Source organism: Homo sapiens, chromosome 19, assembly GCF_000001405.40.
Source record: "Homo sapiens chromosome 19, GRCh38.p14 Primary Assembly".
NCBI lineage: Eukaryota > Metazoa > Chordata > Mammalia > Primates > Hominidae > Homo > Homo sapiens.
In genome coordinates this window covers 47448724-47469827 of record NC_000019.10, presented here as the reverse complement: position 1 = coordinate 47469827, position 21104 = coordinate 47448724, and the positions used below count along the sequence as shown (strand labels likewise).

At 51.0% G+C, this 21104-nt stretch overlaps 1 protein-coding gene across 1 annotated transcript in view, besides 2 other annotated features; it reads left to right on the top strand.

The window, feature by feature from the left end:
• Positions 1-21104, top strand: part of SLC8A2 (solute carrier family 8 member A2) — a 43877-nt gene that overhangs the window by 2066 nt on the left and 20707 nt on the right. Inside the window, exons 2-3 of the mRNA NM_015063.3 lie at positions 3409-4099; positions 12234-12898. Of these exons, the coding sequence (NP_055878.1) occupies positions 3425-4099; positions 12234-12898 (1340 nt within the window). The 5' untranslated portion in view covers positions 3409-3424. The remainder of the gene's footprint in view (positions 1-3408; positions 4100-12233; positions 12899-21104) is intronic.
• Positions 162-456: a silencer, noted in NCBI's record as "tiled region #3844; K562 Repressive non-DNase unmatched - State 20:ReprD". NCBI's record gives its function as "represses a minimal TATA promoter and a strong SV40 promoter by Sharpr-MPRA in K562 cells {active_cell/tissue: K562}" and the evidence as "EXISTENCE:reporter gene assay evidence [ECO:0000049][PMID:27701403]".
• Positions 885-1384: an enhancer, noted in NCBI's record as "H3K4me1 hESC enhancer chr19:47971701-47972200 (GRCh37/hg19 assembly coordinates)". NCBI's record gives its function as "activates a minimal SCP1, AML or CMV promoter by ChIP-STARR-seq in naive H9 embryonic stem cells {active_cell/tissue: H9 hESC(naive)}" and the evidence as "EXISTENCE:reporter gene assay evidence [ECO:0000049][PMID:30033119]".

The window sequence follows — 21104 nt, the reverse complement described above, 5'->3', positions numbered from 1 at the left end:
GGTACCTGCCATCTGCCCTCCCCGCTCCCACCCTGGGCTCCACCTGATCCTTTTGCCCCTGGATTCTAAAAGCAGATTGGGTTTCAGGGCTGCTGGTGGATGGAGAGGGAGAGGCAGGAGCCAGGAGCAGAGGGAGCCCACGGTCCCTGGTGACAGGGCTCAGACCTCTTGGTCATTCATTTCACAAATATTTATCTAGTGCTTTCTCTCCCTGACTGCTCCTCTCGCAAGGCCCCAGCGAGAAACCAGGTTTTGCAGGAAAAAGGGATTGCACTAGGCTGTGCTTGACCCAGCCCCTGGGCTAGGAGGGTGGACATGAGAACCCGCATCACCTGGCTGTGGTCTCTCTTGAGGACTGCAGCAGGAAGGACAGGTGGTTAAACCTGAGGGAGGACTTCCCAGGCCGAGGCTTCCTCCCAGAGAGAGCGGGGTTTGGTTTGATGCTTTAGAAGAATTCCTGACTCCCGGCTGGCCCCTGTTTCTCCTGAAAGCCAGGGAGGCGGAGGGAGAAGGGAGCATGAGCCTTTGCTTTGGATCCTGGTGGGTTTGTAATTATGCCTAAGTTGTTGCTAATTAGGGGGCTGCTAATTAGACGTATCATTAGGGGCCTTGCTGAGGGGGCTAATTGTGCGGTGGCCCTTTAAGAATCACCCCTCTCCCCCACCCTTGCCTGCACACACACACACACACACACACACACACACACACGCACACAGGCATGCTCCTCGCTTGCTCTCTCCTTCTTGGGAAGTTCTGCCAACACGCTGCCTCCCTCCCCCAGAGGAGCCAGCTCCCAGCCCATGGGTATGTAGGTGTGAGTTGGGGACAGGCTGTGGGTTAGACTCTCAGAAGAACTTTTCAAGCAAATGGAAGCCCCTGGAAGAAATGAGGCTGGTGGCAGAGGGGTCTGGGAGGGTGGAGGTTCCCAGGACACCTCTCTTCCTCTCTCCTTCTCTTTTTGATAAGCCACTGGGTTACCATGGCAACATGAGGGTGGGGCGGAGGAGCTCAGAGTCAGGGCCACTCTTGGAGAGGCGACCTGGGAGCCAGAGTTGGTGCTGGATGATGTGGGCAAGTTCCGTAACCTCTCTGCGCCTTGGTCCTCTCACCTGTGGAATGGAGGGGTGCTCCCCAGAGGGGGAGGGTGTCATTTTGGATGGGGTGTTTGGGGAAGCTGACATCAGAGTGGAAACCTGAAAGGGCAGAGAGAGCAAGGCTAGCGGATATGAGGGGAAGAGTGGGCGGGGCACGGTGGCACGCACCTGTGATCCCAGCACTTTGGGAGGCCAAGGCAGGTGGAGCACCTGAACCCAGGAGTTCAAAAACAGCCTGGGCAACATAGAGACTCCCGGCTCTACAATAAATTAGCTGGGCATGGTGGCGCACGCCTGTACTTCCCGCTACTTGGGAGGCTGAGGAGGGAGGGTCGCTTGAGCCCTGGAGGTCGAGGCTGCAGTGAGATGTGATGGCACCACTGCACTTCAGCCTGGGTGGCAGAGTGAGATCCCGTCTCAAAAATACATAAATAGAGAAGCGTGTTCGAGGAAGGGGGAACAGCAGGTGCCAGGGCTCCAAGGCAGAAGCTTGTCTGGTGAGGCTGAGGAGCAGAGGGGAGGAGAGGGTGGCTGAGGCAGACTGGGCAAGGGGGAGAGGGTGGGAAAAGAGGCCAGAGAGGGAGTCGGGGCCAGGTTGGGCAGGACCTCACGGGCCCTGGAGAGGACGCTGGTGCTGTGAGTGAGATGGGAGCTGGCGGGGGTTCTGAACAGTAGGGGGATGAGGCAAGCTGATTTGTGGGCTTTGTTTTTGGTTTTGTTTTGTTTTTGAGGCAGAGTCTGGTTTTGTCGCCCAGACTGGAGTGCAATGACATGATCTCGGCTCACTGCAACCTCTGCCTCCCTGGCTCAAGCGATTCTCATGCTTCAGCCTCCCAAGTGCTGAGATTATAGGCACACGCCACCACACCTGGCTTTTTTTTTTTTTTTTTTTTTTTTGTATTTTTAGAAGAGACAGGGTTTCACCATGTTGGCCAGGCTGGTCTCAAACTCCTGACCTCAAGTGATCCACCCGCCTCAGCCTCAAAGTGCTGGGATTACAGGCGTGAGCCACCGTGTCCAGCGATTTGTGTTTTAAAAGGAAACCCAGATAAGACACGGTAATAGCCACTCAAACTCAGCACCAGAGGTAGGGAGAGAAATAATGAAACAGTAGAACCCCCACACCCACAAATGGGACAGAAAGCCCAGCACAGGGTCTTAGATGTCACAGCCCCTAAGGAACTGCACCACTTATAGAGCCTGGGGAAAACCTCAGGTCAGACACAGGGAAGCTGGAGAGACTGATGCCTGCTACCACCTTGGGGAGGGACATGAATGAGACCCTCCAGCAACCCCTCCCCAGCCCCACTTGAAACAGACAAACACGGCCCAACACCCGCCACAGCCCAAATCCTGAGCAAGAGCTTTCAAAGGGCCGAGTTGGAGACCATTTGAATCTCCTAACAAACTCAGAGCCTCCTGCTCCCTGCCTCTCAGTGAATTTTGCAGTTTGAGTGCTTTTGTGCTTGGCTTCATTCAGCCATTGTGACATCTGTGAGATTCATCCATGTGCTGGGTGCAGCAGCAAATAGTTCACTCCCTTTTCAGTGCTCTATAATATTCCACTGTGCAAATCCTCCAAACGTATTTCTCCATTTTACTGCTGATAGGCCTCTGGGTTGTTTGAAGATTGGCGCTATTATAAATAAAGCTGCTATGAACATTCTTATTTTATTTGAGATGAAGTCTCACTCTGTCACCCAGGCTGGAGTACAGTAGCGCCATCTCAGCTCACTGCAACCTCCGCCTCCCAGGTTCAAGTGATTCTCCTGCCTCAGCCTCCCGAGTAGCTGGGGTTACAGGCTCCCGCCACCCTGCCCAGCTAATTTTTGTATTTTTAGTAGAGACGGGGTTTCACCATGTTGGCCAGGCTGGTCTCAAACTCCTGATCCACCCACCTCAGCCTCCCAAAGTTCAGGGATTACAGGCGTAGCCACCGCACCCGGCCTGCTATGAACATTCTTGTAGGTCCTTTTAGTGGACATAAGGACCTATTTCTCAGGCACATACCGAGGAACAAAACTGCTGAATTGCATGATACGTGGTGTTCGGCTGTAGTTGCCCAAAGTGCATAGACCAATTTGCATTCCCACCAGCAGTGCATGGGGGTTCCTCTGTCCTTATCTTTCAGTCTCTCTCTCTCTCTGTGGGTCTCTGTCTGTCACTCTCTGTGTCTCTGTCGCCCTCAGTCCCCATCCTGCCTGCATTGGTCCTCAGCTTCTCCCCCAACCCTCCTTCCCCAGTGAGCTTTGACCTTTGTATGACAGAAAGAGGTTTGCTTCCCTCACCCAGACCTCCTCCTCCTCCCCCATAGGACCCCACCACCCCCCATGGCTCCCCTGGCCTTGGTGGGGGTCACACTCCTCCTGGCGGCTCCCCCATGCTCCGGGGCAGCCACCCCAACCCCCTCCCTGCCGCCTCCCCCGGCCAATGACAGCGACACCAGCACAGGGGGCTGCCAGGGGTCCTACCGCTGCCAGCCGGGGGTGCTGCTGCCCGTGTGGGAGCCCGACGACCCGTCGCTGGGTGACAAGGCGGCACGGGCAGTGGTGTACTTTGTGGCCATGGTCTACATGTTTCTGGGAGTGTCCATCATCGCCGACCGTTTCATGGCGGCCATCGAGGTCATCACGTCAAAAGAGAAGGAGATCACCATCACCAAGGCCAACGGTGAGACCAGCGTGGGCACCGTTCGCATCTGGAATGAGACGGTGTCCAACCTCACGCTCATGGCCCTGGGCTCCTCCGCACCTGAGATCCTGCTGTCAGTCATCGAAGTCTGCGGCCACAACTTCCAGGCGGGTGAGCTGGGCCCAGGCACCATCGTGGGCAGCGCTGCCTTCAACATGTTTGTGGTCATCGCCGTGTGCATCTACGTCATCCCAGCCGGCGAGAGCCGCAAGATCAAGCACCTGAGAGTCTTCTTTGTCACTGCCTCTTGGAGCATCTTCGCCTATGTCTGGCTTTATCTCATCCTTGCTGTTTTTTCCCCCGGTGTGGTCCAGGTGAGCAAAGACGCATAGATGCTTTCTTGGTGCATGTGTGTCTGCAAAATCCAGAGAGGTGCTCTTGGCTTGGAGTGTTGATTGCTGTATTTGCAGAAATGCACACTCACATCTGAGAGGGCTGCCAAGTACGGTTGTGCAGGTCACCAGACTACACAAGGGAATTGAGCCAAACAGGGCAAGTCCTGCTGGAGGGGCTGGAGTCCTGCTGATGCTACCCAGCCATATCTCTGGAGGGTGCAGCAAACATTTATTTGTCCAGAGGGACGCACTGTTTTGCACTTAAGAACAGTACACTCACTTGGAAGGGGCACCTTTTAGCTCCCAAAAGGGTGTTGTATGTACTAACGGAGCCCCTGTGATCTGTGTAATGCATGCTACGTATGTTCACATGTTTTCCTACACTCCCTACCTTTTGCATAACTGATTCCCGCTTTTGCAATAAGACATCCTCCATTCGCATAATTCATACTACCCTTGCATATAATCCAGCCTAGTGTTTTCTGACATTGCTAATTGGCTTGAGTAACTTAGTGCAATTTGCATAATTTATCCATGGGCTCGCATAGATATATACCTACATCTGCATAATTTAGCCATTTGCCAGATATGTAATCACGGTTTGCATAATTCATTCATTATTCATCATCAATTTCTGATGTTGGGATAATTTATGCCACTTCAGTGTAATGTATACTCCCATCCAACCCAACATCAATATAAGCCCTGTGACCACTTTGCATAATTTATTCCAATAGTGAGACAAAATTTAGACCCACAGCTGCATAATTTATACCTATATTCTCATAATCATTAGCCTTTCGCTCACCCCATGTCTTAACTCGCATACTATGTAGTCTTCCTTGACAACGTTTGCCTAATGTATTTCCCACAACCCCGTGACTGCCTCCTACATTTGCATAATTTATTTATGGGCCTGGCCTAATTCAGTCACACACATGCATAATTTATTTGCAGGTGTCCAGGATTCATTCACACATGTGTGTAATCTATTTTTGCCTATCTGTCAGGTTTCTGCCAGTTACAGTTTCTTCCCAGGAAGGATCTGAAGCTAGAGATAGAAAAATGCCTTGTGGGTTTTCTGTGAAGGAGGATATATAACAGAGGGATCAGAAGCCACAGTGAGGAAAGGGGAGGACAGTGGCACCAGAAGACAGGGCTCCTGAAAGAGGGAGAGAGAAAGAGGAGAGAGTTTCCCATCTGCCATGGTGAAAAGTGTGCAGTGATATATCGTACAGTTTAAGGTGCTGTTAAAATGAATGGTGTCCTGACTTAGGCTTTCAGAAAGGCCTTTGAAGCTAGGTGTGGTGGTTCATGCCTGTAATCCTAGCACTTTGGGAGGTCGAGGCAGGAAGATCACTTGAGGTCAGGAGTTCGAGACCAGCCTGGCCAACATGGTGAAACCCCATCTCTACTAAAAATATAAAAACTAGCCTGGCATGGTGGTACCCGCCTGTAATCCCAGCTACTCGGGAGGCTGAAGCAAGGGAATTGCTTGAACCTGGGAGGTGGAGGTTGCAGTGAGCCGAGGTGGCCCCACTGCACTCCAGCCTGGGTGACAGAGTGAGACTCTATCTAAAAAAAGAAAGAAAAGGAAGAAAGGAGAATATAACAGATATTTTGTTACATCCCCTTTATTTCTGCTGATATGAAATTCTTAGGTAATCAAAGAGAGATCTTGTGGCCTCAGAGTTTGATCCATGCACCTGAAGCCAGAGATTTGGGTTCAAATCCCACCTCTGCCATTCCCTCACTGTGTGACCTAGGGCAGGTTCCTTATCTTCTCCAGGCCTCAGTTTCCTCAACTGTAAAATGGGGATCATGAGAGTGCTGACTTCATAGGGCTACCATGAGGATTAACTGAATTGTTCCGTGTGGAAAGACTTAAAATAGTCTGCCTGAAACAGAGTAAATGTTAGCTATTCATTAACAAACTCCCCTATGCATTTGGCTTCCCAAAAAGTCAGTATAATGTCCAAACTGTGTTATAAAGAAAAGATTTCTATTTCTTTCTTTTTTTTTTTTTTTGAGACAGAGTCTTTCTCTGTCGCTCTGAGGCAGCGATTCTCCTGCCTCAGCCTCCTGAGTAGCTGAGATTACAGGTGTGTTCCACCACGTCAGCTAATTTTTGTATTTTTAGTAGAGACGGGGTTTTGTCATGTTGGCCAGGCTGGTCTCGAACTCCCAACCTCAAGTGATCTGCCCGCCTCAGCCTCCCAAAGTGCTGGGATTACAGGCGTGAGCCACTGTGCCCTGCCTAAAGAAAAGGTTTCTGGGCCGGGTGCTGTGGCTCACGCCTGTAATCCCAGCACTTTGGGAGGCTGAGGCGGGCGGATCACAAGGTCAGGAGATAGGGACCATCCTGGCTAACACGGTGAAACCCCGTCTCTGCTAAAAATACAAAAAAATTAGCCGGGCGTGGTGGCGGGCGCCTGTAGTCCCAGCTACTCGGGAGGCTGAGGCAGGAGAATAGCGTGAACCCGGGAGGCGGAGCTTGCAGTGCGCCAAGATCGCGCCGCTGCACTCAGGCCTAGGCGACAGAGCGAGACTCCGTCTCAAAAAAAAAAAAGAAAAGGTTTCTAACAGAACAGTCTGCATTTCCACCTGGAAATGCTTCATCACAACTACCCTCATGACAAGGGAGCCAGATGCAGGCATCTATTTATAATGAATAAGCTGGGCTTCAGAGAAAGAAAAAGATCAGAAACCATTGCATGCAAGAAGTCTAGGCAGAGGAGCAGGTAGCCACGAGATTTAAAACAAGTGTATTTGCAGTATGTTAAACCATACAGGAAAATACTTCATATAAGATATACATAAGGCCGGGCACAGTGGCTCACGCCTGTAATCCTAGCACTTTGGGAGGTCGAAGTGGATGGATCACCTGAGGTCATGAGTTCGAAACCAGCCTGACCGACATGGTGAAACTCTGTCTCTACTAAAAATACAAAAAATAGCTGGGCATGGTGGCAGGCGCCTGTAATCCCAGCTACTTGGGAGGCTGAGGCAGGAGAATCGCTTGAACCTGGGAGGTGAAGTTTGCAGTGAGCTGAGATTGAGCCGCTGCACTCCAGCCTGGGTGACAGAGTGAGACTCCATCTCAGAAAAAAAAAAAAAAAAAGAAATTTAAAAAAGATATACATAGGCCGGGCGCAAAGGCTCATGCCTGTAATCCCAGCACTTTGGGAGGCTGAGGTGGGCAGATCACCCGAGGTCAGGAGTTCAAGACCAGCCTGACCAACATGGGGAAACCCTAACTCTACTAAAAATACAAAATTAGCCGGGCGTGGTGGTGCATGCCTGTAATCCCAGGTACTCGGGAGCGTGAGGCAGGAGAATCGCTTGAACCCGGGAGGCGGAGGTTGCGGTAAGCCGAGATTGCACCACTGCACTCCAGCCTGGGCAACAAGAGCGAAACTCTGTCTCAAAAAGAGAAAGAAAGAAAGAAAGAAAAAGAAAAAGAAAGAAATACATAAAACAGAGTTATAAATTCTAACTATCATAAACAGTGTTTTCACGGATAAGAACATTAGTGGCAGGTTCTGAAATGAGACGGCATATGGGACATTTCTGCATTGTGTGGGACTGTCCCGTGCGGATAAGAATGTTAGTGGCAGGTTCTGAAATGAGCCGGCATGTGGGACATTTCTGTATTGTGTGGGACTGTCCCATGAGTTGCTGGATGTCATCAGGCCAGGAAAGGCCAAGACCATGTCCCCCTCCCTAGTGATGATGGCAGCCCATAAATACCCCCAGATTTCCAATACTCTGTCTCAGGGGTGTGCCTGCTCCACTGAGACCTGAAAATGTCACAGTGCCCTCCCAGGCTGGACACATTCTTAGTGGGTGCTCTAGAAAGACATTGTGAATCGGCTAGAATCACTTTTTATTGACCTGCAGGGAGGAAGGAAAATCTTAGGGGTTTGGGATTGTCTTCTGATGAATAGAGACTTCCTTGCAATATACATAATGGTAGGTTCAATTAATACAAGGGAGAGAGTTCATTTCACAGCTTGCGCTGAACATTCGGCTCCTTTTCCCAAATCTGCCTGTTGGCTTCATGCAGTTTTACTATTTGCAAGTCTTGACTGTTCTCTGAGCCAGCAGTAAACACAGTGATAGCAGGTGTGGCAACTGGATCTTAGATATTTTTCCTACCAGGCTCATTTTTAAGATACTCTGGGGGCCTTCTTTTTTTCGAGATGGAGTCTCACTCTGTCCCCCAGGCTGGAGTTCAGTGGTGTAATCTCAGCTCACTGCAACCTCCGCCTCCTAGATTCAAGTGATTCTCCTGCCTCAGCCTTCCTAATAGCTGGAATTACAGGCGCACGCCACCACACCTGGCTGATTTTTGTATTTTTAGTAGAGATGGGGTTTCACCATGTTGGCCAGGCTGGCCTTGAACTCCTGAGCTCAAGTGATCCACCCACTTTGGCCTCCCAAAGTGCAGGGATTATAGGCGTGAGCCACTGTGCCTGGCCTTCGGGGGCCTTGTCATCGTAAATACTCTTTTTTTTTTGAAACAGAGTCTCGCTCGGTCGCCAGGCTGGAGTGCAGTGGGGTGATCTCAGCTCACTGCAACCTCCGCCTCCCGGGTTCAAGCGATTCTCCTGCCTCAGCTTCCCAAGTAGCTGGGATTACAGGCGCCTGCCACCACGCCCAGCTAATTTTTGTATTTTTAGTAGAGACGGGGTTTCACCATGTTGGCCCTCGTGATCCACCCACTTCCGCCTCCCAAAGTGCTGGGATTACAGGCATGAGCCACCACGCCTGGCCCATAAATACTCTTTTATCTTTTCTTCTTCATCTTTGATGAGAAAGGTAACATTTGAGTCTTTCCATGAATATCTTCAAGGCAAACCCTCGAGTCTTGGTGGATGCTTTCCATGTGCCAGGCCTGTGCTGGGCCACCAGCAGACTGAGTCTTAGGCCTCTGCAAGCCCAAGATAATAGTACTAAATAATAACGATGGCGATGTTCTTTTTTTTCTTTTTCTTTCTTTTTTTTTTTTAAGATGGAGTCTCATTCTGTCACCCAGGCTGGAGTGCAGTGGCGTGATCTCGGCTCACTGCAACCTCCCCCTCCTGGGCTCAAGCAATTCTCCTGCCTCAGCCTCCCGAGTAACTGGGACTACAGATGCACACCACCATGCCTGGCTAATTTTGTATTTTTGGTAGAGATGGGGTTTCACCATGTTGGCCAGGCTGGTCTCGAACTCCTGGCCTCAGGTGATCCACCCACTTTGGCCTCCCAAAGTGCTGGGATTACAGGCGTGAGCCACCACGCTTGGCCAGGCAATGTTAATTTCACATCTTGAGTCTTTTCCATGTGTCAGAAACTGAGAATGCTGTGCACTAGGAATGCAGGTGCTCATTCAGTCTTGGAAATGTCCCCATTGTATAGACCAAGAGATGAGACAGCCATCCCTGTGGTAAAGCCAGGCTCCCAACTCAGAGCTGCCCTGGCTGTGCATGGGAACTGGTTTTATGAGGCAGAAGAGCCAGATGTGTGTCTCTGTTAGAGACACAGCCTGTCCATGAGGGCCAGGCAAATGCTAAGGAGGCACTGGTAGGGGTCATGGGTGGGGCACTGAGGGCGTTTGGGTGAACAGAGAGCAGGCCCTGGATGATGGGCGAGGTTTGGAGAAGTGGAGGCACCCCCAGGTGATGGGGGAGAAATGGAGCAGGCAGAAAAAAGATGGAGGGAGAGAGAGGCCAGAAGACACACAGGCTCTGTCCCTTGACAGCAGCTGGGACCACAGGGTGGGGATTGTCTGTTGCTTGGTAGTGGATGAGGATGTCCGGGTTCCTGGCACCTGGGCAGCTGGGCATGGTTCTCAGCATCTAAAAGGTGGATAGATGGATGAAGAGACTAGGAGAGAAAGAGAACACATACACACATGTGCGCACACACACACACAGATGGACACACATGCACACACATGCACACAGATGGACACACACGTACACATACACACACAGACGTACACACATGCGCGCACACACAGAAGGACACACCCATGCACACACACACATGCACACACACAGAAGGACACACACACAGATGGACACACGCACATACACATACACACATGCACACACAAGCACGCACACACAGGACACACACACGCACATACACATATACACATGCACATACGCTCACACATGCGCACACACGCGCACGCACGTGCACACACACAGAGATGGGGAGCAAGAGAGAGAGGGAGGGAGAGAGAGAAAAGTAGCTCTGGAGAAACACAGATACTGAGAAAGAGAAAGAAACTCACAAGGGAGGGAAATAGATATCTACCAATAGATACAAAAGAAGGAGATGGAGCCAAGGAGACCGAGGCAACAAGAAAAGAGAGGGAGCCAGGGAGAGAGACAGAGGAGGAGGAAAGGCTAAGAAAACCGCTGAGACAGAGGCAAGGAGGGAAAGAGACAGCAGCACACGCAGAGAGCGATGGAGAGAGGCAGAGACGAACAGGGACAGAGAGAGAGAGAACGAGATGGAGAGAGAGAAATGTGGGGGAGATGGGGAGAGGCCACAGACAAAAAGGGAGGACAGAGTTAAAAAGAGATGGGAGGAAGGGGAGGGAGAGAGATGGGGAGAGGCAGAGGTGAACAGAGATGAGAGGGAAATAGAGAATAAGTGAGGAACAGAGAGACAGAGATGGAGAGGAACGGGAGCAAGGAGAGAGAGAGAAAAGGGGGTGGGGAGAGATAGGGAGAGGCAGAGATGAGCAGAGACAGAGACAGAGGGGGCGAACAGACAGAACAAGATGGAAAGGGGTGGGAGAAAGGAGAGAGAGAGATGGGGAGAGAGAGGTGAACAGAGACAAGAGGGAAATAGAAACTAAGAGAAGGACAAGGGAAAGGAGAGAGAGAAACGGTGACGGGAGAGGGGAAAAAATTAGCTCTGGAGAAACACAGGTATTGAGAGAGAAAAAGAAAGAAACTCACAAGGGAGGGAGATGGAGATCTACCAGGATATAACAGGACATGGAGACACGTCCAGACATGGGGAGAGGCAAGAGCCAAACAGAGACAAAAAGGGAGGGACAGAGATAGAAAGAGATGGGGGGAAGGAGAGAGAGAAATGGGGGGAGAGAGATGGGGAGAGGCAGAGATGAACAGAGACAAGAGGGAGGTTGAGAGAAACTAAGAGAGGGACGGAAAGGAGAGAGAAATGAGGAGGAGAGAAGTGGGGGAGAGGCAGAGATGAACAGAGACAGAACAAGATGGAGAGGGAAAGAGAGAAATGGGGGGAAACGGAGAACTCGGGGGAGAGAGATGGGGAAAGGCAGACATGAAGAGAGACAGAAAGAGGTGGGGAGAGACGGGGAGAGGGGAGGAAAGAGAGACAGGGAGAGGCAGAGATGAACAGAGATTGAGATGGAGAGAGATGGGGAAAGAAGAGGGAGAGAGAGAAATGGGGGGAACAGAACTTGGGGGAGAGGGGAGAGAGACATGGGGGGAGGCAGAGATGAACAGTCAGAAAGAGGTGGGGAGAGACGGGGAGTGGGGAGGAGAGAGAGATGGGGAGAGGCAGAGATGAACAAAGAGACAGGGCTCACGCCTGTAATCCCAGCACTTTGGGAGCTCGAGGTGGGAGGATCACAAGGTCAGGATTTCAAGACCAGGCTGGCCAACATGGTGAACCCCCGTCTCTACTAAAAAAAATACAAAACTTAGCTGGCCATGGTGGCGCATGCCTGTAATCCCAGCTACTCGGGAGGCTGAGGCAGGAAAACTGCTTGAACCGGGACCCGGGAGGCCAAGGTTCAAGGTTTAGTGAGCCGAGGCTGCACCACTGCACTCCAGCCTGGGCTACAGAGAAAGACTCTGTCTCAAATAAAAAAAAAAAGAAAGAAAGAAAGAGAGAGAGAAAGAAGGAAGAAAGGAAGGAAGAGAAAAGAAAAGAAAAGAAAAAGAAAGAAAGGAAAGAAAGAAAGAAAGAAAAGAAACAGAAAGGGATAGGGAGAGACGACGGGGCGGGGTTGGGGGTTGGGGAGAGAGATGAGGAGTGGCAGAGGCGGACAGAGACTGAGACAGAGAGGCGGGGAGGGAGAAGGCGGCCCGCCCGGCCTCGCCCTGACGCCCGCCGCCCGCAGGTGTGGGAGGCGCTGCTGACCCTGGTCTTCTTCCCGGTGTGCGTGGTATTCGCCTGGATGGCCGACAAGCGGCTGCTCTTCTACAAGTACGTGTACAAGCGCTACCGCACCGACCCACGCAGCGGCATCATCATAGGCGCCGAGGGCGACCCCCCGAAGAGCATCGAGCTGGACGGCACGTTCGTGGGCGCCGAGGCCCCAGGTGAGCTGGGCGGCCTGGGCCCGGGCCCCGCCGAGGCGCGCGAGCTGGACGCCAGCCGCCGCGAGGTCATCCAGATCCTCAAGGACCTCAAGCAGAAGCACCCGGACAAGGATCTGGAGCAGCTGGTGGGCATCGCCAACTACTACGCGCTGCTGCACCAGCAGAAGAGCCGCGCCTTCTACCGCATCCAGGCCACGCGGCTGATGACCGGCGCCGGGAACGTGCTGCGCAGACACGCGGCGGACGCCTCGCGCAGGGCGGCGCCGGCCGAGGGCGCGGGCGAGGACGAAGACGACGGCGCCAGCCGCATCTTCTTCGAGCCTAGCCTCTACCACTGCCTGGAGAACTGCGGCTCCGTGCTGCTGTCCGTCACGTGCCAGGGCGGCGAGGGCAACAGCACCTTCTACGTGGACTACCGCACTGAGGACGGCTCTGCCAAGGCGGGCTCCGACTACGAGTACAGGTGGGTCCCCCGGGGTGGGGGGTGTGCAGGGGGCTGGCGCAGGCCGTGGGTCCCGCCGTCCGGCGGCCTCCAGGCTCTTCGCCTCCCAACTGACTCCTGCAGGATTCATTGGTTCATTTGTTCATTCATTCATTCCTGAGAGCCTGCTTTGTGCCAGGCGCTGCTCTAGACGTGGGGCACACACCTCTGGGCCAGGCAGAGAGCATGGCTATCCGAAGGCTACACCTCCCGCCTTCATTATCTACCTCTGGGTTTTTGTTTGTTTGAGATAGAGTCTCACTATGCTGCCCAGGCTGGAGTGAGTGGCAAGATCTCCGCTCACTGCAACCTCTGCCTTCCAGGTTCAAGCGATTCTCGTGCCTCAGCCTCTTGAGTTGCTGGGATTATAGGTGTGTGCCACCACACCCGGCTTATTTTTGTACTTTTAGTAGAGAGATGGGGTTTCACCACGTTGGCCAGGCTGGTCTTGAACTCCTGGCCTCAAGTGATCCACCTGCCTCGGCCTCCCAGAATGCTGGGATTACAAGCATGAGCCATCATCCGGCCATGTTCTGTGTTTTATTGTCTGGTAAAACAGCTGTCTCCTCATGTGCATAGGAACATTAATGTTTAGTGGGCACCTACCATGTGCCAGGTGCTGCCTCCAGGCATTCAGTGCACATGATGAATGAGACAAACTCTCAGTCTTCACACCACTCCTCCTGCATTCTTTATATTTCTGTGGTTTTGTGCTGGTGCCACACTGTTTTAATTATTATAGCTCCATTATGTGTATTGCTACCTGGTAGAACAAGCCTTCTCCCACCATTACTAAAGTAAAAATGCTTATTGAGCATGCACTGTATGCCAATGGGTGTACCATGGGAACAAGCAGCTAAGGTCCCTGCCCTCAAATTGCAATGAGGATATAAACTACTAAACATATAAAAACTTGAAGTGGCAATAAGTGCTATGGAGGAAAATAAAATAGGAGTGGAGGAGAGAGACGATGGCTAAAGGTCTTTGGTTGTGCCATAAAGCAACCCACCCATCACCCTCTACCATATCTCACAGCCCCAGTCCCTCTCCTTACCCCTCTCCTTGCAAATCTGTGATATTCTCTCATTCAACAGTTCCTCCTGAGCACCTACTGTGTGCCAGATGTCTTTATTTAGGGGATCAACCTAGAACAATAACCAAGATAGATAAGATCTCTGTCCTCATGTGGCCCACAAAATTCATCTATTTGTAGTTCTTCTGTCCATGACACACTATTTTAAGACTTATAGCTTTACAGTATGTTCTTTTCAATGATTTTCACCAGCCTACATCATGCTTTGAACAGTATGTGTTGTTAATTCATGCACAAGTCTCCCCTTTCCCATAATGACATTTATCATGTGTCTACTATGTGCAAGAAACAAACAGATCTGGCACCGGCGACTAGTGGTGAACAAAACTCATAAAGTCCCGGCCCAAATGGAGCTGACATTCTCCTGGGAAAGACAGGCAGTTAGGAAGTAAACACTGATTACATAAAAATGCCAGGTAGTGGTAGGAGCTGTGAAGAAAAATAAATCAGGAGACAGGGAGAAAGAGGGCCAATGGCTGAGCTTTTCAGAGGTTCTACCTGCTCAGTAGCCTGACACATCCCCCTTTAATCTTCTCCCTGGGGTACAGCTGAGGCTGAACTGTTCCCAGATCTTTGGTTCTGCCATCAAGCAGCAGCCAATCCCTCATCCCTTTAACCCTTCTCTTCCTGGGACTCAGTTCGCTCATCTTCTCTCCTCTCCTCTCACCTCTTCTCTCCCCTCTCTCCTCTCTCTCCTCTACTCTCTCCTCTCCTCTCTTCCTTTCTTCTTTTTCTCAGAGTTTCGCACTTGTTGCCCAGACTGGAGTACAGTGGTACGATCTCGGCTCACTGCAACCTTCACCTTCCAGGTTCAAATGATTCTCCTGCCTCAGCCTTCCAAGTAGCTGGGATTACAGGTGCCCACCACCACACCCAGCTAATCTTTTGTATTTTTAGTAGAGATGGGGTTTCATCGTGTTGGCCAGGCTGGTCTTGAACTCCTGACCTCAGGTGATCCACCCGCCTCGGCCTCCCAAAGTGCTGGGACTACAGGCGTGAGCCACCGCACCTGGCAGTTCTCTGTTTCATCGATCTTGAGTTCCACCACTGTGTGCCTGGCTGCTTTTTGTAGCCAGTCTTCTTCCCTCTCTGCCCTCATCACTTCTCTTTCCAGCGCTTGGACATTTGCAGGTCTTTCCCTCCACCTCAGTCAGTCCAGGATCCTTTTGTCTGCCCATCTCCATCCACCTTTCCTACCCTGCCCACCCCAGCCTTCCTGGCTTACTGCAGCCTCCACCTCCTGGGCTAAACTGATCCTCCCACCTCAGCCTCCAAAGTAGCTGGGACTACAGGTGCATGGTGTGCTGTGCTCCAGCCTGAGTGACAGAGTGAGACACTGTCTCAAACAAAACAAAACAAAATGCAGCTGTTCACAGGTCTTTGTTCCATCACCCTGCAGCATGGGATCCCTTTGGCCACTCGGTCCATCCTCTCCCAGTGCACCATATCATCCACATGCCCTCAGTTGAGGGAACTGCATTCACCATATTGGGGCCTGCTTTCAACTATCTTTTCACCTTTCCACTCCTACCCACCCCTGGTCCGCACTGTCCCCATCTAGAGCCCTGAGGCTTTGCAGAAGGAAGTGAGTACAGGTGTCACCTCCTGGGATAACAGCCCACTTTGTCACTTACAAATGACCTCAGGACCAAGATTGTTTTTTATTGTTTTTTGAGACAGGGTCTTGCTCTATCACCCAGACTGGAGTGCAGTGGCACAATCACAGCTCACTGCAGCCTCAACCTCCTGGACTCAAGTGATCCTCCCATCTCAGCCTCCCAGGTAGCTGGGACTACAGGTGTGCACCACAGCGCCCAGCTAATTTATATATTTTTTGTAAAGATGGGTTTTTGCCATGTTGCCCAGGCTGGTGTGGTTTTGTTTTGTTTTGTCTGAGACAGAGTCTCACTCTGTCACTCACGCTGGAGCACAGTGGCGCAATCATGGCTCACTGCAGCCTCCGCCTCCCAAGCTCAAGCAATCCTCCCACCTCAGCCTCCAATATAGCTGGGACTACAGGCACATGCCACCAAGCCTGGCTAATTGTTTTTGTTGTTGTTGTTGTTGTTTTGGTATGTTTTGTAGAGACAAGGTTTCACCATGTTGTCTAGGCTGGTCTTTAACTCCTGGGCTCAAGCAATCCACCTGCCTTAGCCTCCCAAAATGCTGGGATTACAGGTGTGAGCCACTGCACCTGGCCAGGACCAAGATGTTTGAAGTGAAGGAGGAAATGCTGTTCAGTGCTGGAACCAAAGGGCTAAGAAGAGTCAACATCTTCCTATCCTTCCTTGATTTCCTATCCTGGAAGACATTCGAGGCCTGGCATTGCCTTATCAAGGTACCTTAGGCCAAAGACTGGGAGGAAGGAGACTTGGGTTCCACTCCGAGCTTAGCCCTGGACCCTGTTCCTTGGGCAAGTTCCTGCCTCAGTCTGAGCAGGCAGGTCTGCCATGTACAGTTGTTGAAGCTGTGCACTGCATAAAACCACCATATCTGAGGAAGCTCTCTTCATAGTGGACATTGTAGATTTGCATTTCTATTATAAGAGTTTTCTGACTTATGGAAATAAGTGTCTTGAAGAAGGAAAGCCTTTTTCTTTTTCTAAGTTTCCCACAGGTTCACACCTGTGAGCCTTAGTTTCTCCAAACTAAACGTGATCTCTGAGAACCCTAAACAGCACAGTTTTTCCAAGATTCTGAGATTTAATCCCCTATGATGTTGACACACTAAGGGTCTGAAGTTCTAAGATTCTAGAATTCTAACATTTTGATATTCTTTATTTTTTTGAGACTGCATCTCACTCTGTTGACCAGGCTGGAGTGCAGTGGCACGATCTCGGCTCACTGCAACCTCTGCCTCCCGCGTTCAAGTGATTCTCATGCCTCAGCGTCTTGAGTAGCTGGGATTACAGGTGTGCACCGCCACACCTGGTTAATTTTTGTATTTTTAGTAGAGATGGGGTTTCACCATGTTGGCCAGGCTGGTCTCAAACTCCTGACCTCAGGTGACCCATCCACCCCGGCCTCCCAAAGTGCCGGGATTACAGGCATGAGCTACCACGACCAGCCAACATTTTGGTATTCTAATCCAAACCCTATCCAGTCTCTGACTTGATGGCTTTAAGATTTTTATCTTCTCAGATTCTGTGTCCAGTGCTGAAACATAAGTCCTGTGAATCTAGCCTTCTATGATTCTGATGCCTGGCTTCTAAAGTCCAATCCCAGCTACTTGGGAGGCTGAGGCAGGAGAATTGCTTGAACCCAGGAGTCAGAGGTTGCAGTGAGCCAAGATCGCGCCACTGCATTCCAGCCTGGGAGACAGACCAAGACACACACACACACACACACACACACACACACACACACACACACACTCTCTCTCTCTCTCTCTCTCTCTCTCTCTCTCTCTCTCTCTCTCTCTCCATATATATATATATATAAGCTGGGCATGGTAACATGTGCCTGTAGTCGCTGCTACTCAGAAGGCAGAGGTAGGGGAATCGCTTGAGCCCAGGAGGCAGAGGTTGCAGTGAGCCAAGATTGTGCCACTGCACTCCAGCCTGGATGACAGAGCCAGAATCTGTCTCAAAATAATAATAAAATAATAACAATAATTGTGACACTCTGTGACCACGAGTTGCAAATACCATGACCTTCATGCCTAAATACTTGAGCATGCATCTTTTGAGAATAATGGCATTCTCCTACCTAATCACAATACTATGATCTCACTCAAGAAATCTAACACTGAATTGATACTGTTAACTCAACGTCAATTGAGTGATGCACAGCCCGTGTTTCCATTTCCCCAGTCATCCCTGTAATATCCTTGATGGCTGTATTTTCACTCCTGCCCTCTCTTCCCATTTGATCCAGAACCACACATTGCATTTCCCTGTCAAATCTCTTTAGTCTCCTTCAGTCTGGATCAGTTTCTCAGCCTTCCCATGACTTTTGTGACCTGATGCTTTTGAAGATGATAGGCCAGTTACTAGAATGATTCTCAATCTGGGTTTGTCTAATGCTTCCTGATGATTGGAGTCCTGCACTTTTGGCAGGAATCCCATGCAAGCGATGCTCTATCCCCCTGGGTGCATTGTATCAGGAGGAACATGATGTCCACTCGTCCATTACTGTGATGCCCAGTTTAATTGTTTGGTAAAGATGTTGCTAAATCTTTGGATTAATTGTTTGGCAAAGATGATGCTACAGGATGTATGCAGTGGATCATGCCTGCAATCCCAGCACTTTGGGAGCCCAAGGCCAGCGGATTGCTTGAGCCCAGGAGTTCAAGACCAGCCTGGGCAACATGGCAAAACCCCATGTCTACCAAAAGTATAAAAATTAGCCAGATGTGGTGGCACGAGCCTGTAGTCCCAGCTGCTCGAGAGGCTGAGGCAGGAGGGCTGCTTAAGCCCAGGAAGTCGAGGCTGCAGTGAGCTGGGATTGTGCAACTGCACTCCAGCTTGGATGACAGAACAAGACCCTGTCTCAAACAAAAACAAAAAAAAGGTCTGGGCGCGGTGGCTTATGCCTGTAATCCCAGCACTTTGGGAGGCCGAGGCTGGCAGATCACGAGGTCAGGAGTTTGAGACCAGCCTGGCCAACATGGTGAAACCCCATCTCTACTAAAGATACAAAAAATTAGCCAGGCATGGTGGCACACATCTGTAATCCCAGCTACTTGGAAGGCTGAGGCAGAAGAATCGCCTGAACCCAAGAGGCGGAGGTTGCAGTGAGCTGAGATCGTGCCACTGCACTCCAGCCTGGGCGACAGGGTGACTCCGTCTCAAAAAAAAAAAAAAAAAAAAAAAGATAGTGCTACAATCTCCATATTTTACTGATCCCTTTATCCCTTACATGTAAATGTCTCATATCCCATGACTTTTAGGACTCTAAGATTATGATATTAATATGTGGATATCACTAGCTAACTGTGCCTCTGGGTGCTTCCCCTGTATCAATTCAGTCCTCACCACAGCGCCAGGAGGTAAACACTATTATTAGCCCATTCCACAGATAAGGAAACCAAGGCTCAGAGGACTGCAGAATCCTGACCGCCCAAGATCACACAGCTGGCATGGTGGCCAAACTGGGCTTGAAGCAGGTCAGCCCACCCTCCTGGGTGCTCCATCACCACGGACAGTGAATCCTGAGCTGAGGGACTCCCTCATCCCTCCACTGCAGGTCTTTTCACCAGGTTCTATGCCCCCTACCTCTTGCCAGAACCTTGCGGTCCCTCTCTTCCTCCCACAGAGCTGGAAAACTGGAGCCTGACTCCCCGCCCCCACCTTTTTGAGACGGAGTCTTGCTCTGTCACCCAGACTGGAGTGCAGTGACGTGATCTTGGCTCACTGCAACCTCCACCTCCCCAGTTCAAACAATTCTCATGCCTCAGCCTCCAGAGTAGCTGGGACTACAGGCATGCGCTGCTACACCCCACTAATTTTTGTATTTTTAGTAGAAACGGGTTTTCACTGTGTTGGCCAGGCTGGTCTTGAACTCCTGACCTCAAGTCATCCATTCACTTCAGCCTCCCAAAGTGTTGGTATTACAGGCGTGAGCCACCGCGCCCGGCCCCAGAACCCCTTTAATATGAAAGTGATAGTGAATGCATATGGATCACATAGCAGGGTTCAGAGATGGTGCTGAGCCCCTTACATGCACAGTAGGAGGGATTGGGGGAAATGATAGATTTTCAAGATTTCTTAATATCCCAGAGTCACGCTGATGTCTGCAGCCCTGCCAGGAAGAGTCCACTTACTCCATGACCCCTCAGAATTTCACTCTGAGTAATCTAATGTCACTGCCTTGTTCCCTCCCCGGCTCCCCCCATTACAGAGTATCTTATGGGTGTTTCAGAGATTTCCACAACTGTTACTCTTTTAACACCAAGCCAGCTCGTGTCCCTCCTCTGCTCGGAACGAAGCTTCACAGGGCTCCTTCCTCACTCAGGGTAAACGCAGAAGTCTTCACCGTGGCCCACCCAGGCCCTAGGTGATCTGCCCCCGTTCCCACTGTGATGTCATCTTCCACCCTCTCGTCCTGGCTCCCTCTGCTGTCATCATGCTGGTCTCCCTGCAGTTCCTCGAAGAGGTGACCCGTCCCTAAGTCAGATCCTGTCCCCTGTCCGGCTGTCCAGTCCCAGGTCAGAGCATTCACATTGCCTGTTCCCTTTACCAAAAATACTCTTTTTGGCCAGGCACGGTTGCTCACGCCTGTAATCCCAGCACTTTGGGAAGCCAAGACAGGCGGATCTTTTGAGGTCAGGAGTTCGAGACCGGCCTGGCCAACATGATGAAACCCTGTCTCTACAAAAAAGTACACAAAATTAGCCAGGCATGGTGGCAGGCGCCTGTAGTCCCAGCTGCTCGGGAGGCTGAGGTGGGAGAATCCCTTGAACCCGGGAGGGGAGGTTGCAGTGAGCCAAGATGGAGACACTGCACTCCAGTCTGGATGACAGCGAGACTCTGTCTCAAAAAAACAAAACAAAACACAACAAAAAACTCTTTTCCAGGCATCCTCCCTATGGCTCACTCCCTCCCCTCCTTCAGGTCTCTGCTCAAATGTTACCTCCTCCAAAAGGCTTTCTTGACCATGCCAACAGCTCCCTCTCCTCACTCCCTACCCTCCTGTTTCTCTCCATAGCACCATCACCACCTGACATCCTGTGTTTGTTTATTGTTCATTCTTCTGCACTAAAACAGAATCTCAAAGCTTCTTATTGGTGCCGTTCCCCCAACACTTAAAACAATGCCTGGCACACAACGGTCAGTTATCTGTTGAATGAATGAACCGTAATTAAATCATTAAATGTGCAATTGTCATGGTGATATGGCTCTCCCATGGGGCTGTGAACCCTGTGAGGACAGGGCCTGGTTACTGCTGTGTCCCCAGCACCACTCGGCACAAGGCACACAACGGGTGCCCTTAGGAGTGTTTGTTGAATGAATGAGTGATGCCAAGTTAAGGTGTATGGACTTCCTCTTGGGGGCATCTGGGAAGGGTTTTTATCAGAGGAATGACAGAGTCCTTTCTGGGTCCTATATCCCTGCCACTTAAAATGTGACCAGGACATCCCCTGGAGCTCGTTAGA